This window comes from Homo sapiens, chromosome 22 (genome assembly GCF_000001405.40).
Source record: "Homo sapiens chromosome 22, GRCh38.p14 Primary Assembly".
NCBI lineage: Eukaryota > Metazoa > Chordata > Mammalia > Primates > Hominidae > Homo > Homo sapiens.
The window spans coordinates 50,374,354-50,390,753 of NC_000022.11; the positions used below are offsets into that span (position 1 = coordinate 50,374,354).

The 16,400-nt window shown below is 46.3% G+C and overlaps 1 protein-coding gene across 57 annotated transcripts in view; it reads left to right on the forward strand.

Moving 5' to 3' along the window:
• The window catches only part of PPP6R2 (protein phosphatase 6 regulatory subunit 2), a 114,317-nt gene that overhangs the window by 43,580 nt on the left and 54,337 nt on the right, over positions 1-16,400 (forward strand). For 18 of the 57 annotated variants that reach the window (XM_047441638.1, XM_011530723.3, XM_011530720.3 and 15 more), the window contains exon 1: positions 13,293-13,385. The exons of 20 other annotated variants lie outside the window; for them this stretch is intronic. The gene's annotated coding sequence lies outside the window, so the exon portion shown is untranslated. Of the gene's footprint in view, positions 1-13,292; positions 13,386-14,632; positions 14,759-16,400 lie in introns of those variants that run through there. 19 more of the 57 variants (XM_047441645.1, XM_047441659.1, XM_011530737.3 and 16 more) reach the window with 2 other exon arrangements.

Genomic DNA, 16,400 nt, shown 5'->3' on the forward strand with positions numbered 1-16,400 from the left:
AAATTCAACATATGGATTAAACAGATTAAACACAGATGCAGATGGAATTGGTAAAGTGAAACACAGTGAAAGACATTATCCAAAGTGCAGCCCTGAGAGATCAGTGATGGTAGTAAATATGTAGCTGGAATTCTAGAATGAAAAAATCAGGAATATTGAAGAGATGTATTATTCGAAGTATTAATAGCTTTGAACTTTCAGAAACTAATAAAAGACCTAAATCCATAGGTTTAGGAATCACAATATGTCCCAATCAATATTTTTAGAAAAAAACAAACCCAGCCAGGTGCAGTAGTTCACGCCTGTAATCCCAGCACTTTGGGAGGCCAAGGTGGGCGGATCATAAGGTCAGGAGATTGAGACCATCTTTGCTAATACGGTGAAACCCCGTGTCTACTAAAAATACAAAAATTAGCCGGGCGTGGTGGTGCGCGCCTGTATTCCCAGCTACTCAGGAGGCTGAGGCAGGAGAATTGCTTGAACGTGGGAGATGGATGTTGCAGTGAGCCAAGATCACGCTACTGCGCTCCAGCCTGGGCGAGAGCGAGACTCTGTCTCAAAAAAAAAAAAAAAAAAAAGAGAAAAAGAAAAAAACAAACCCACACCCATACACTGAAATCGTATAGCACCAAAGACAAAAAGAAGGTGTTAAGGTAAAGTTAAAAGATAGATTACCTAAAATGGAACATTAGCTAGGTTGACAACAGATGTCTCAGCAGCATGAATGGAAGCCAGTAGAGAGTAGAATAATTCCTCAAAGCGACGAGAGCATGTATGTTTTATTATAGAATCGTGTTATCAAATAAATTTTGCAAGAAAAATGGCAAGGTTTTATGTTTCTGAGAATGTTAGGCTAGGTTAGACTACCTTCTACTCCCCCACCCTCCACCCCAGAAAAACAGCCACAATTGTTAGATGAAAAAACATAAATAAAAGAACTGACAAAAAAGCAGGAAACTTTTGGATCAAAATCTAACTGAAAATAACGCAGAAAGGTAATTTAAACACCATAGAATGGGGTCTGCTTTTGTCCTGAGGGCATTTGCTCATGTGGACAAAGTGGGGCTTTGAGTTTAGAGGATTTGTGAAAAGAACAGTAGTTAAGCTCGATTCCTCTCAAGGTAAATAGCCTAAAGGAGACCCTCCCCACACCGATGGAACTCTGAAGGGCTCTATCCTCAAGGTGTGAGGGCAGACTAGAGGCACATGTGCCTCACACCGTTCCTTGCCCTCATCTGGTTGTCTTTTTACTAAATGTAGCACAAAAAGATGAAAAGGGAAAAAAACCTGTTCCTGAGAATTGTAGCTCTGTATTGGCCTTTGTGAGGATTTTTAGCCCAGTTACATTGCCTGGTAGTTCAGGGAAATCGGGCATGAATTTAATTCAAGGTGTTTCTAGCTTGTCATCTGACAGGAACAAAGATAAAACCTCTCTGGAAGAAGTTACCTTCATCCTAAGATACAAAGAATCCCTGCAGATTTTTTTTTTTTTTTTTTTTTTTTTTGAGATGGAGTCTTGCTTTGTATCCCAGGCTGAAGTGCAGTAGCACAATCTCGGTTCACTGCAACCTCTGCCTCCCAGGTTGAAGCGATTCTCCTACCTCAGCCTTGCAAGTAGCTGGGACTATAGGCGTGTGTCCGGCTAATTTTTGTATTTTTAGTAAGGACGGGGTTTCACTGTGTTGGCCAGGCTGGTCTTGAACTCCTGACCTCAGGTGATCCGCCTGCAGATATTTTTTAAAGACAGTGATTAATAGTACACAGACAAAAATGACTAAGCACACAAGCAAATAAGCCACTCTGAGTTAAAACCAGTACAGTTCAGGTGTGGTGGCTCATGCCTGTAACCCCAGCATATTGGGAGGCTGAGGCAGGAGGATGGCTTGAGTCCATGAGTTTGAGGCTGCTGTGAGCTATGATTGCACCGCTGCACTCCAGCCTGGGTGACAAAGTGAAACCTTGTCTCAAAAAAACCCCCAGAAAATGAAAACAGGAAAACCAGTAGAAACACTTCCTCAAAGACTTCAGGTATTGGAATTGTTAGAAACAGACTATAAAAAAAGTGTACTTTTTGTATGTGTGTGAGAAGGTCTTACTCTGTCGCCTAGGCTGGAGTTGGAGTACAGTGGCGTGATCTTGGCTCACTGCAACTTCCGCCTCCTGGGCTCAAGTGATCCTTCTGTCTCAGCCTTCTGAGTGGCTGGGACTACAGGCACACACCACCACACCTGGCTAATTCTTTGTATTTTTTGTAAAAACAGGTTTTTGCCGTGTTGCCCAGGCTGGTCTTGAATTCCTGGCTTTAAGCAATCTGCCCACCTCGGCCTCCTAAAGTACTGGAATTACAGGCGTGATCTAGCATGCTGGCTGAGTGTGCTTCTTATTTTTAAAGAAATAAATATTTGGCTGGGTGCAGTGGCTCACGCCTGTAATCCCAGCAGTTTGGGAGGCCGAGGCGGGCAGATCACAAGGTCAGGAGATGGAGACCATGGTGAAACCCCGTGTCTACTAAAAATACAAAAAATTAGCCGGGCGCGGTGGCAGGCGCCTGTAGTCCCAGCTACTCGGGAGGCTGAGACAGGAGAATGGCGTGAACCCAGGAGGCGGAGCTTGCAGTGAGCCAAGATCACACCACTGCCCTCCAGCCTGGGCAACAGAGCGAGACTCCGTCTCAAAAAAATAAAAAATAAAAAGAAATAAATATTTAACAACATAAAAATATTTGTAAGAAACAGTAAAAGGTGATATAGAATATTTGAAAAAGGACCATGTAGAACTTCTAGAAATAAAGAATAAAATATTCAGTATCACAAATTCAGGCCAGGTGAGGTGGCTCATGCTTGTAATCCCAGTACTTTGGGAGGTAGAGGTAGGGAGATCACTTGAGCCCAGAAGTTCAAGACCAGCCTGGGCAACATGGTGAAAACCTGTCTCTACAAAGAATTTTTAAAATTAGCCAGGCGTGGTGGTGCACACCTGTAGTCCCAGCTACTTGGGAGGCTGAGGTGGGAAGATCACTCGAGCCCAGGAGGTCAAGCCATCATTGTGCAAGTGCACTGCAGCCTGGGTGACAGAACAAGACCCTCTCTCAATAATAATAATAATAATTCAGTGTGTACAGGTTTAATAACAAAATATATACAGTGAAGTGAAAATCAGTGAACCAGAAAACAGGTCAGAAGGAATTACCCAGAATGAAGCACAGAGAAAATGATGGGAAACATAGGCCAGAACATGGGACATCGAGGGCAAATGTCTAATGGATGTTTACTTAATGTTCTGTAAAGAGAAAAGAGAGAATGAGGCAGATTTATTATTAGAAAAGATAAAGACTAAAATTTCTCAGAATTGGTGAAAGAAGTCTACAGATTTAGGCCAGGCGCGGTGGCTGACGCCTGTAATCCCAGTACTTTGGGAGGCTGAGGCGGGAGGATCACAAGGTCAAGAGTTCCAGACCAGCCTGGCCAGCATGGTGAAACCCTGTCTCTACTAAAAACACAAAAAGTAGCTCAGCGTGGTGGCACGCACCTGTAATCCCAGCTACTCACGAGGCTGAGGTAGGAGAATTGCTTGACCCCAGAAGGCGGAGGTTGCAGTGAGCTGAGCTTGAGCGCTCCAGCCTGGGTGACAGAGCAAGACTCCGTCTCAAAATAAAAGAAGTCTACAGATTTGAGAAGACAAATGAATGGTAAGCAGGATAAATAAAAATAAAATTTATAGCTAGCCAAAGGAGAGTAAAACTACAAAGCACCAAAGAGTGTTCTTAAAATAAACGAAAAACACAGATCAACTTTATCTGAGCAGCAGTAAGAATGATGGCTGACTTCTTAAGTGCCACAATGGAAACCAGAAGCCAGTGGAGTAATATTTTCATTGTGCTGAAAGTAAAACAATTCCTGACTTCTAACTTTATATCAGGAAAAATTATCTTTCAAAAAAATTATCTGCTGTAGGCTGGGTGCGGTGGGTCACCCTGTAATCCCAGCACTTTGGGAGGCTGAGGCAGGTGGATCACCTGAGGTGGGGAGTTCGAGACCAGCCTGACCAGCGTGGAGAAACCCCATCTCTACTAAAAATACAAAATTAGCCAGACGTGGTGGTGCATGCCTGTAATCCCAGCTACTTGGGAGGCTGAGGCAGGAGAACTGCTTGAACCTGGGAGGTGGAGGTTGTGGTGAGCTGAGATGGCGCCATTGCACTCCAGCCTGGGCAACAAGAGCAAAACTCTGAAAAAAAAAAATTATCTACTGTAGTTGAATGTTTATGTCCCTCCAGAATTCATATTGAAACTTAATCCCCAATGCAATAGTTTTAAGAGGTGGGGCTTACCAGCCTGAGCAACATGGTGAAACCCCATCTCTACAAAAAAAAAAAAAATTAGCTGGGCCTGGTGGGGCATGCCTGTAGACCCACCTACTTGGGTGGCTGAGGCAGGAGGATCACTCGAGCCCAGGAGATTGAGACTGCAGTGAGCCATGATTGCACTGCTGCACTCCTGCCTGAGCAACAGAATTAAACCCTGTCCCAATTAAAAAAAAAAAAAAAAAGGTGAGGCCTAGAATATGATGAGGCCGTGAGGGCTCCACTCTCATGAATGGGATTAGTGCCTTGTAGAAGGGCTTGAGGGAGTCTGTTAGTCCCTTTTGCCATGTGAGGACACAGTGGAGGCACCATCTGTGAAAATTAGGTCCTCATCACACACTGAATCTGCTGCTGCCTTGGTTTTGGATTTCCCATCTCCCAGAGCTGTGAGAAATAATTTTCTGTTGTTTATAAATTACCCAGTCTAAGATATTTTGTTATAGCAGCAGAAACAGGCTAAGACACAGTCCTTTACTAAATACAATTCTCAAGAATAGGGGCCAGGCACAGTGATTCATGCCTGTAATCCCAGCACTTTGAGAGGCTAAGAAGGGTGGATTGCTTGAGTCCAGAAGCTTGAGACCAGCCTGGGTGATGTGGTGAAACCCCGTCTCTACAAAAAAATAAAAAAATTAGCCGGGAGCGGTGGTGCATGCCTGTAGTTCCAGCTACTTGGGAGGCTGAGGTGGGAGTATCACTTGAGCCTGGAGGTGGAGGCTGTAGTAAGTTAAGATCACACCACTGCACTCTAGCCTGGGTGACAGAGTGAGACCCCGTATCAAAGTAAAATAAAAGATAGAATGGACTTTAGGCAGAAAACAGTGATCCTAAATGGAAGAACTGAGATTCAAAAAAGAATGCAAAGCAAATATGTGAGCAAATTCAAATTAGCATTGGAGGGGTGCAGTGGCTCCTGCCTGTAATTCCAGCACTTTGGGAGGGTCACTTGAGCCCAGGAGTTTGAGACCAGCCTGGGCCACATAGGGAGACCTTGTCTCTACAAATAATAAAAAAATTAGCTGGGCATGGTGGCACATTCCTGTAGTCCCAGATACTTAGGAGGCTGAGATGGGAGGATCACGTGAGCCTTGGAAGTTGACATTGCCGTGATCACACCACCATACTCCAGCCTGGGTGGCAGACCGAAACCCTGTCCCCTCCAAAAAACCCCACTAATTGTTTAGTAATATAATAATATCTATGGGGTAAAATCAAGGTAGAATTTCATAATACATGAAAATAGTAACAAATAAGTCATGAAGGAGAGTAAATGAAGTTAAAACATTCCAGTCTTTGTAGTAGCTGTGTCTTAGTCCATTTGTGTTGCTATAAAGGAATACCAGAGGGTGGGTAATTTATAAGGAAAAGAGGTTTGACACAGTTCTGGTTCTGGTAAGAGTTTCAGGCTGCTTCCGCTCATGGCAAAAGTTCAAGGGGAGCCAAAGGGAAGCTAGCTTGTAGAGACCCCGTGGTGATAGAGAGGAAGAGAGAGAAAGAGAAGGTGCCAGTCTTTTTCTTTTTTTTTTTTGGTATTTTTAGTAGAGATGGGGTTTTACCGTGTTAGCCAGGACGGTCTCGATCTCCTGACCTCGTGATCCACCCGCCTCAGCCTCCCAAAGTGCTGGGTTACAGGCGTGAGCCACCACGCCTGATGTTTTTTTTTTTGAGATGGAGTCTCTCTGCCACCCAGGCTGGAGTGCAGTGGTGCAGTCTCGGCTCACTGCAACCTCTACCTCCCAGATTCAAGTGATTCTCCTGCTTCAGCCTCCCGAGTAGCTGGGATTACAGGTGCCCGCCACCACACGCAGCTAATTTTTGTATTTTTAGTAGAGACGGGGTTTCACTACGTTGGCCGGGCTGATCTCGAACTCCTGACCTCGTGATCCAACCACTTTTGCCTCCCAAAGTGCTGGGATTACAGGTGTGAGCCACTGTGCCTGGGTGCCAGGCTTTTTCAACAACCAGTTCTCTTGGGAACTAAGAGTGAGAACTGGCCGGGTGCGGTGGCTCACGCCTGTAATCCCAGCACTTTGGGAGGCCGAGGCGGGTGGATCACGAGGTCAGGAGATCGAGACCATCCTGGCTAACACAGTGAAACCCCTTCACTACTAAAAATACAAAAAATTAGCCGGGCGTGGTGGCGGGCACCTATAGTCCCAGCTATTCGGGAGGCTGAGGCAGGAGAATGGCCTGAACCCAGGAGGCGGAGCTTGCAGTGAGCCGAGATTACGCCACTGCACTCCAGCCTGGGCGACAGCGAGACTCCATCTCAAAAAAAAAAAAAAAAAATTAGCTGGGCGAGGCAGGAGAATCACTTGAACCTGGGAGGTGGATGTTGCAGTGAGCCAAGATCACGCCATTGCACTCCAGCCTGGGTGACAGGAATGAAACTTTGTCTCAAAAAAAAAAAAAAAAAGAGAACTCAGTTACTCCCTCAAGAATGGCACCAAACCATTTACGAGGGATCTTCCCCGACAACCAGAACCCCTCCTACCAGGCTCCACCTCAGCATGGGGCACCACACGGGCCCCACCTCAGCATCACACGGGCCTCACCTCAGCACCACACGGGCCCCACCTCAGCACCACACGGGCCCCACCTCAGCATCACACGGGCCTCACCTCAGCATCACACGGGCCCCACCTCAGCACCACACGGGCCCCACCTCAGCATCACACGGGCCCCACCTCAGCACCACACGGGCCCCACCTCAGCATCACACGGGCCCCACCTCAGCACCACACGGGCCCCACTTCAGCACCACACGGGCCCCACCTCAGCATGAGGCATCCCAGTTTAACATCAGGCTTGGTGGGGCCAAAGAAACCATATCCAAATTACAGCAAACTAGGATAGGGATTAACTGTAGATTTTAATAAGTGCAGTTTACAAGTTCTAAGGAATTATTGTAGGAATAGAAACTGGCCAGGCGTGGTGGCTCACGCCTGTAATCCCAGCACTTTGGGAGGCCGAGGCGGGTGGATCACGAGATCAGGAGATTGAGACCACGGTGAAACCCCGTCTCTACTAAAAATACAAAAAATTAGCCGGGCACGGTGGCGGGCTCCCGTAGTCCCAGCTACTCAGGAGGCTGAGACAGGAGAATGGCGTGAACCCGGGAGGCGGAGCTTGCAGTGTGCTGAGATCACACCACTGCACTCCAGCCCGGGTGACAGAGCGAGACTCCGTCTCAAAAAAAAAAAAAAGAAAAAAAAGGAATAGAAACTGTACAATTTCCAAATTAGTGAAGAGAAAGTAGTGGACCTTCCTTTATTCTTGTAAGGAAAAGCTGCAACAATTTTTTTAGCAACCATTAACTAAATGATAATATATATTGAAAACTTAACCTGTGAAAATGGAAAGAAGACAGGGTGCATGCTTTTACCACTTGAGAATAGTGATGGAAGTCTTAGCCCAATAAATCAGAAAAAGGATAAAAAGATAAAAGAATTTAAAAGGAAGAAACAATCTATTATTCGTTGGTGATACTATTATGTATGTAGAAAATCCAAAATGATCCAAAGCTATAATACAGTCAATTCTTTACCCAAACAGCTTTAAAGTCAATAATCTTTTAGCAATTGTCTGGATAAAAAAGTCAAACAGGGCACGGTGGCTCATGCCTGTAATCCCAGCACTTTGGGAGGCTAAGGCGGGCGGATCACAAGGTCAGGAGTTCGAGACCAGCCTGACTAACATGGTGAAACCCCGTCTCTACTAAAAATACAAAAACTAAGCCAGGCATGGTGGCTCACGCCTGTAATCCCAGGCCTGGGCTAGGCAAAAGGGTGAAAATCCGTCTCCAAAAAAAAAAAAAAATTCAAACAAAAATAAATTACAGTGTACCACCAACAAACACACTGAAGTTAAAAAGTAGAATTATAAATAAAAAATACCTGGGAATAAAATAAAAGATGTGTAAAACCTTTATGGAGAGCACTATACAATTTTGAAAGCAATTAAAGACTTGAATAAATGGGCAGAGGTACCCTGGTTTTGGATTGGAAAACTTACTGTTATACCAGTTCTTCTCCAACTGATCGAGAAATTGAGTGCAATCCCAATAAAAAACCCGAGATTGTCAGTGAGGGTGTGGGAAAAGGGTGAAATTTACAAGCAAATTTTTTTTTTTTTTTTTTTGAGATAGGGTCTCACTCTGTCACCCAGGCTGGAGTGCAATGGCACAGTCTCAGCTCACTGCAACCTCTGCCTCCCAGACTCAAGCGATTCTCCTGCCTCAGTCTCCCGAGTAGCTGTGATTACAGGGATATGCCATCACGCCTGGCTAATTTTTGTGTTTTTAGTAGAAATGGGGTTTTACCATATTGGCCAGGGTGGTCTCAAACTCCTGACCTCATGTGATCTGTCTGCCTTGGCCTCCCAAAGTTCTGGGATTACAGGCATAAGCCAGCACACCCGGCCTGATTTAGAAATGATATGAAAATGAAGGGGTCCATGAATACTCAAGGTGTGATTGAAGAATTCCAATTCATTCCATGTGTCAAAGATCTTGTTTTAAGATGTTGGTGTTTTTATATTGGTAGGGTGCCCATCAGCCCTGGTTTGCCCAAGTGTCCTGGTTTTTCCTGTGGTCCTGGTCTCATTAAGAAAGTGTTTTCATTTCGAGTCCTTTTGGAAGTCTTATTCTGCTGTTTGGGTAAAGAATTGACTGTATTTTTTAGTTTTTAATTTTTGTTTTTAGGGTTGCCCGTGTTTTCCCAAATACAGAATTCTAAACCAGAGAATAGCACCTTACATAGTAGAGAGATTGCTTCTCTTTTGGTAGGCGGTGGCCAGGAAGGAACGCCAGGTAGCATTAAGCCTTGGCCCCCAAGTATGTCTTGTTCCCTGTCTCTTTGCTTTCAGTGGGTTCCTTGGGCCTTCTTGTTTATGATGGAGAATACATAGGAATTAGCCTCCTCAGCTTCCTTCTTTCTTGCTGTGCTTAAGACAAGCAGCCATATGGGGCTGTTATCTTTCTGCCACTGGGAAATGAGAGGGTGGGTGCTAAAAAATTAACTTAAAAAGGAAAAGGATGAGGCCAGGCGCAGTGGCTCATGACTGTAATTGCAGCACTTTGGGAGGCTGAGGTGGGCGGATCACCTGAGGTCAGGAGTTCAAGACTAGCCTGGCCAACATGGTGAAATCCTGTTTCTACTAAAATACAAAAATTAGCCAGGCATGATGGTGGATGCCTGTAATCCAAGCTACTTGGGAGGCTGAGACGGGAGAATCGCTTCAACCCGGGAGATGGTGGTTGCGGTGAGCCAAGATCACACCACTGCACTCCAGCCTGGGCGGCTGAGCGAGACTCCATCTCAAAAAAAAAAAAAAAAAAAGAAGGATGAACACCTTTGAGCTCGTGTGTTAGTGACATCACATCCCTTCTTTCATTCATTTAGTAAATTCAAGTATGATTTGTTGGGCACTTATAATATGCCAGGTGCATTACATAACTCCTGTGGCCTTTTGAAGAAAATATTATTTTATATGAAGCTCAGTGTCTTAATCTGTTTTCTGCTGTTTAGAATACCTGAGACTGGGTAATTTATAAAGAAAAGAAATTTTAGTGGCTCACGCCTGTAATCCCACCAGTCTGGGAGGCTGAGGTGGGCAGATCACGAGGTCAGTAGACCGAGACCATCCTGGCTAACACAGTGAAACCCCGTCTCTACTAAAAATACAAAAAATTAGCCGGGCGTCGTGGCGGGTGCCTGTAGTCCCAGCTACTCAGGAGGCTGAGGCAGGAGAATCGCTTGAACTTGGGAGGTGGAGGTTGCAGTGAGCCAAGATCGCGCCACTGCACTCCAGTCTGGGCGACAGAGCGAGACTCCGTCTCAAAAAAAGAAAAGAAAAGAAATTTATTTCATATGGTTATGGAGGCTGAGAAGTTCAAGGTTGAGAGGCATATCTGGTGGGGGCCTTCTTGCTGCTGGGGACACTGTGGTGGCCCAAGGTGGCGTGGGACATCACGTGGCAAGGGAGCTGAGTAGTGTACTAGCTCAGGTCTTTCTTCCTTTTTTTTTTGTTTTGTTTTTTTAAGAGATGGGGTGTCACTCTGTTGCCTAAGCTGGAAGTGCAGGGGCACAATCATGGCTCACTGCAGCTTCAACCTCCTGGGCTCAAGCGATCCTCCCACCTCAGCCTCCTGAGTAGCAGGGACTATAGGCGCACAGCACCATGCTCAGCTAATCTTGTTTTGTTTTGTTTTCCATAGAGACAGGGTCTTGCCATGTCTAGCAGGCTGGTCTCAAACTCCTGGCCTCAAGTGAGCCTCCTGCCTTTAGCCTTCCATAGTTCTGGGATCACAGGCCTGAGCTACTGTACCTAACCTCTTCTTTTTATAAAGCCACCAGTTCCACTCCCATGATAACTCATTAATTCACAAATGGATTAATCCATTCTTGAGGGCAGAGCTCTCATGATCCAATTACCTCTTAAAGGCCCTACCTTTCAATACTGCCACACTGGGATTAAGTTTTGTTTTGTTTTGTTTTGGAGACAGAATCTCACGCCGTCACCCAGGCTGGAGTGCAATGGTGCGATTTAGACTCACTGCAGCCTCTGCCTCCCAGGTTCAAGCGATTCTTGTGCCTCAGCCTCCCGAGTAGCTGGGATTACAGACACGCACTGCCATCACGTCCGGCTAATTTTTGTATTTTTAGTAGAGACAGAGTTTCACCATGTTGGCCAGGCTGGTCTCAAACTCCTGACCTCAGGTGATCCACCTGCCTTGGCTTCCCAAAATGCCGGGATTACAGCATGAGCCACCACCCCCAGCCAGGGATTAAGTTTTTTTTTTTTTTTTTCCTTTTTTGAGACGAAGTCTTGCTCTCATCCCCTAGGCTGGAGTGCAATGGCGCTATCTCGGCTCACTGCAACCTCTCCCTCCCGGGTTCAAGCGATTCTCCTGCCTCAGCCTCCTGAGTAGCTGGGATTATAGGCACCTGCCACTATGCCTGGCTAATATTTTTATTTTTAGTAGAGACAGGGTTTCACCATGTTGGCCAGGCTGGTCTTGAACTCCTGACCTCAGGTGATCCACCTGCCTCGGCCTCCCAAAGTGCTGGGATTACAGGCATGAGCCACCGCGCCCAGCTTTTTTTTTTTTTTTTTTTTTTTTTTTGAGACGGAGTCTTGCTCTGTCTCCCAGGCTGGAGTGCAGTGACTCGATCTAGGCTCACTGCAAGCTCCACCTCCCCAGTTCATGCCATTCTCCTGCCTCAGCCTCCCGAGTAGCTGGGACTACAGGCGCTCGCCACCACGCCAGGCTAATTTTTTGTATTTTTAGTAGAGACGGGGTTTCACTGTGTTAGCCAGGATGGTCTCGATCTCCTGACCTCAGGTGATCCGCCCGCCTCAGCCTCCCAAAGTGCTGGGATTACAGACGTGAACCACTGCGCCCGGACAAGGTTTTTTTTGTTTTGTTTTGTTTTGTTTTTTTTGAGATGGAGTCTTGCTCTGTCTCCCAGGCTGGAGTGCAGTGGTGCAATCTCTGCTCACTGCAACCTCTGCCTGCTGGGTTCAAGCGATTCTCCTGCCTCAGCCTCCAAGTAGCTGGGATTACAGGTGCCCGCCACCATACCCAGCTAATTTTGTATTTTTAGTAGAGATGGGGTTTTGCCATGTTGGCCAGGCTGGTCTCAAACTCCTGACCTCAGGTGATCCACCTGCCTCGACCACCCAAAGTGCTGGGATTACAGGTGTGAGCCACTACGCCCGGCCTTAAGTTTTAACATGAGTTTTGGAGTGGTTATATATTCAAGCCATAGACTCAGGGAAGTAAAGAACCTTGCTCAAATTGTAGTAAGGTACAAACCGAGCTTCTGCAGCAAGGAGGTCCCAAAGAACAGTGGCTTGAGCAAGGTGCAAGCACATTTCTTTCTCCTCTAACAGTCTGGTCTGCCAGGTGGCCTTCCTCAGCTTGTGGCTTCCACTCGTGGATCTAGAAGGGTCTTTATGGTTTTTGGTTTCCCACCAGGCGGTAAAATCAGAACGAAGGAAGCTCACAACAGTAAGAGGTTGAGGTTCCAGTGTTAGTTACTTCTACTCGCAACCCATTTACCCAGAGTTTAGTCACATGATGATAGCTGGCTGTAAGGAGGGTTGGAAAAGTTAGGCTGAAGGAGGGTGGCCATGTACCCAGCTGACCTCTATTCTGTTGAAGAAAGGGAAACTGGAAACTGGGGACAAGTAGAATGTCCCCCACACCTGCCTGCAGTCACACAGGTGGAGGGTGTGGATCCAGGCCCTCTCTTCCTATCTGTCCTGCTCTTCCGCGGTACCTTACTACTGTTTTTGGGAAGAAGCAGCCTTTGCGAACTTTATGTATGTATTAAATTAAAATCATTTATTTATTTTTTGAGACAGGGTCTTGCTCTATCACCGAGGCTGGAGTGAAGGGGTACGATCATAGCTCAGGGCAGCCTCAACCTCCTGGGCTCAAGCGATCCCCCTGCCTCAGGCTCCCGGAGTAGCTGAGATGATAGTCCCACACCACCATGCCCAGCTAGTTTTTAAAACTTTTTTTGTAGAGCTGGGGTCTTGCTGTGTTGCCCAGGCTTGTCTTGAACTCTGGGCTCAAGTGACCCTCAGCCTCAGCCTCGGCCTCCCGAATTGTTGGGATTACAAGCATGAGCCATGTGCCTCTTTTCACTTCTGATTTTGGATTTTTACTTAACTTGTTTGTCCCACTCCACCCCCTTTTTAAAGTTAGACTCTTTTTCCTGGTCTTTTTTCCCCGGTGGACTATGCTCAGGATCGACATAGTCTTGTTTGTTCCTTGGTTGTACAAATAGTCATTGTGCTTCATGTGCTCACGTTGCCATTTTTTTCCGGGCCAAATGGAAATCAAGCATTCAGCCTATCCAGTGGTATGTTGGTAAATGTTTAACAACGGGCTTTCTGGGGAGGAAAAAACCTCCTGGTTTGTAACACTTGCTGATTTCCATGGCGTTAATACTCCCACCACGTTGGAGTTGAGCTGCCAGGGTGATGTCCTGAAGGTGGAAGAGGGAAGAGAGGTATGAGGGCTCAGGTTGGGCCACCGCGGCGCACGCCCTCTGTGGGCACAGTGACTTTATCTCTGTTTCCGTCTCTTTACGCTGAGGGTCTTTGAGAATGAAACGTGCTGGGAACTGTTCTAGAGCCTTTATGTGGAATAACTTAGTAATCCTCCCCACAGGGGATGTCGATGCTGCATTTTACGGGTGAGGAAATCAAGGCATGAGAGATCATGTGAGTGGCCTCAGCTCACACCGCAGAGCTAGGACTTTGATCATAAATCTTTAAAAGAACAAAACAGTGGCTGGGCGCCAGTGGCTCATGCTGTAATCCCAGTGCTCATGCTGTAATCCCAGCACCTTGGGAGGCTGAGGCAGGTGGCTCGCTTGAGCCCAGGTGTTCAAGACCAGCCTGGGCAACATGGCAAGATGTGGTCTCTATAAAAAATTTTTTTAGGATTAAAAAAAAAAAACAGTCAGCTTGGGTAACATGGCAAAACCTTGTCTCTACAAAAAAAGTACAAAAATTAGCTGGGTGTGGTGGCGCATGCCTGTAGTCCCAGCTACTTGGGAGGCTGAGGAGGGAGGATCACTTAAGCCTGGGAGGTTGAGGCTGCAGTGTGCCAAAATCCCACCACTACACTCCAGCCTTGGCAACAGAGCAAGACCCTATCTCAAAAAAAAAAAAAAATAAGCCTAAATCCTGGACAAGGTGGCTCATGTCTGTAATTTTAGCACTTTGGGAGGCTGATGTGGGAGGGTTGCTTAAGCCCAGGAGTTCAAGACTGCAGTGGCTGTGTTCAGGTCTCTGCACTCCAGTCTGGCTCACAGAGCAGGACCCTGTCTCAAAAATACACATAAATTTTTTAAAAAGGGCCAGGCACGGTGGCTCACGCCTATAATCCCAGCATTTTGGGAGGCCGAGGCGGGCAGATCACAAGGTCAGGAGTTCAAGACCAGCCTGGCCAATATGGTGAAACCCAGTCCTTAATAAAAATACAAAAGTTAGCTGGGTATGGTGGCAGGCACCTGTAGTCCCAGCTACTCAGGAGGCTGAGGCAGGAAAATGGCTTGAACCCAGGAGGCGGAAGTTGCGGTGACCTGAGATTGTGCCACTGCACTCCAGCGTGGGGACAGAGTGAGACTCCATCTCAAAAAAAAAAAAGAAAAGAAAAAAAAATGATTTGTGGCCAGACAGGTAATAGGGCATTTCAGATTCTAATTTTCTCTTAGCAACAGTCTCTATCACAGAATGTTGTTTTTTAAAGGGCGCTTTCATGGAACTATATGATCATATGGGCAACATTCTGTTGCAGTCTACCTTCTGTCTGACGGATATGCCATCCTGAAAAAGGAAAGAAGCTGAACTTCAAGTTCCTTTCATTTAGCCTTGGGTAAGAATCTAGAAGATGTTGGTCATACTGTGCTTGACATCCCAGATGGACCACTGAGGATGGGAGTCAGGATGTGAGAGGAGTCCTTAAGCTCTGTTGAGACTTCCGATGTAACCAGAAATTCCTTAAACCAACAAGCCAGGCCATGACCACTTGTTTGTTCTGAAGATGCTGCCAGTGCTGACCTTGAGGTCATGTAGGGAAGGAAATGGAAGGCCTTCCCTGTAGGTGAGGGCCAACCAGGAAGATGCTAGCATCTGTTTGGAGGATAGGGTGTAGTTGTGCAGATAGGAGAAAACTTGGAAAAAAGAAGTATGTAATATTATGTTAGTAAATGTTCTGGAGTCAGTTTATACCAGTTTCTTTGACAGTGAAATTAGCTGTAACTAAACCAGTGCCATTGCAGTGAACTCTTAAAGGATGTCTCTGATGTGATCTTTTTTTGTTTTTTTTTTTTTTTGAGATGGAGTCTCGCGCTGTCGCCCAGGCTGGAGTGTAGTGGCGTGATCTCGGCTCTCGCTCTGTCGCCCAGGCTGGAGTGTAGTGGCGTGATTTCAGCTCACTGCAACCTCCACTTCCTGGGTTCCAGTGATTCTCCTGCCTCAGCCTCCCGACTAGCTGGGATTTCAGATGTGCACCACCATGCCTGGCTAATTTTTGTATTTGTGGTAGAGATGGGGTTGGCCAGGCTGGTCTCGAACTCCTGACCTCAAGTGATCTGCCCGCCTTGGCCCCGCAAAATGCTGGGATTACAGGCATGAGCCACAGTGCCCAGCCTGATGTGATCATTTTTGAGTGTTTCTTAGAATGTGGGGAGAGCTGATAGAAACATAGAAATGTTCTTGTTATGCGGAGATTTTTTTCTTTTTTCTTTTTCTTTTTTTTTCTTTTTTTTTTTGAGATGGAGTCTCTCACTGTCACCTAGGCCAGAGTGCAGTGGTGTGATATCGGCTTACTACAACCTCTGCTTCTCGGGTTCAGGCGATTCTCCTGCCTCAGCCTCCCAAGTAGCTGGGATTACAGGCACCCACCACCACGCCCATCTGATTTTTGTGTTTTTATTAGAGATGGGGTTTCACCATGTTGGTCAGGCTGGTCTCAAACTCCTGACCTCAGGTGATCCACCCGCTTCATCCTCCCAAAGTGCTGAGATTACAGGCGGGAGCCACCGCGCCCAGCCCATATGCCGTTTTTCAAGAGAAACATTTTAAATATAAAGGCACAAGTAGATGAAAGTCAAAGGATGTTAAAGGACATACCAAACATGAATCACAAGAATGGTGAGATTGGTGTACTATGTTAATATCAGACAAAGCCGACTTCAAAACAAGGTATGTTGCCAGAGATCATGAAGGACATTTCAAAATGATCAAAGAATTAATCATCAAGAAGACGTAACAGGCCAGGCGTGGTGGTTCACACCTGTATTCCCAGCATTTTGGGAGGCTGAGGCAGGAGAATCGCTTGAACTCAGGAGGCAGAGGTTGCAGTGAGCCAAAGTTGCACCATTGCACTCCATCCTGGGCAATGAGAGTGAAACTCCGTCTCAAAAAAAAGAGAAGACATAACAATCCTAAATATGTGTCAACATAATAAAAGAAATTCAGGGCCGGGCGCGGTCGTTCACACCTGTAATCCCAGC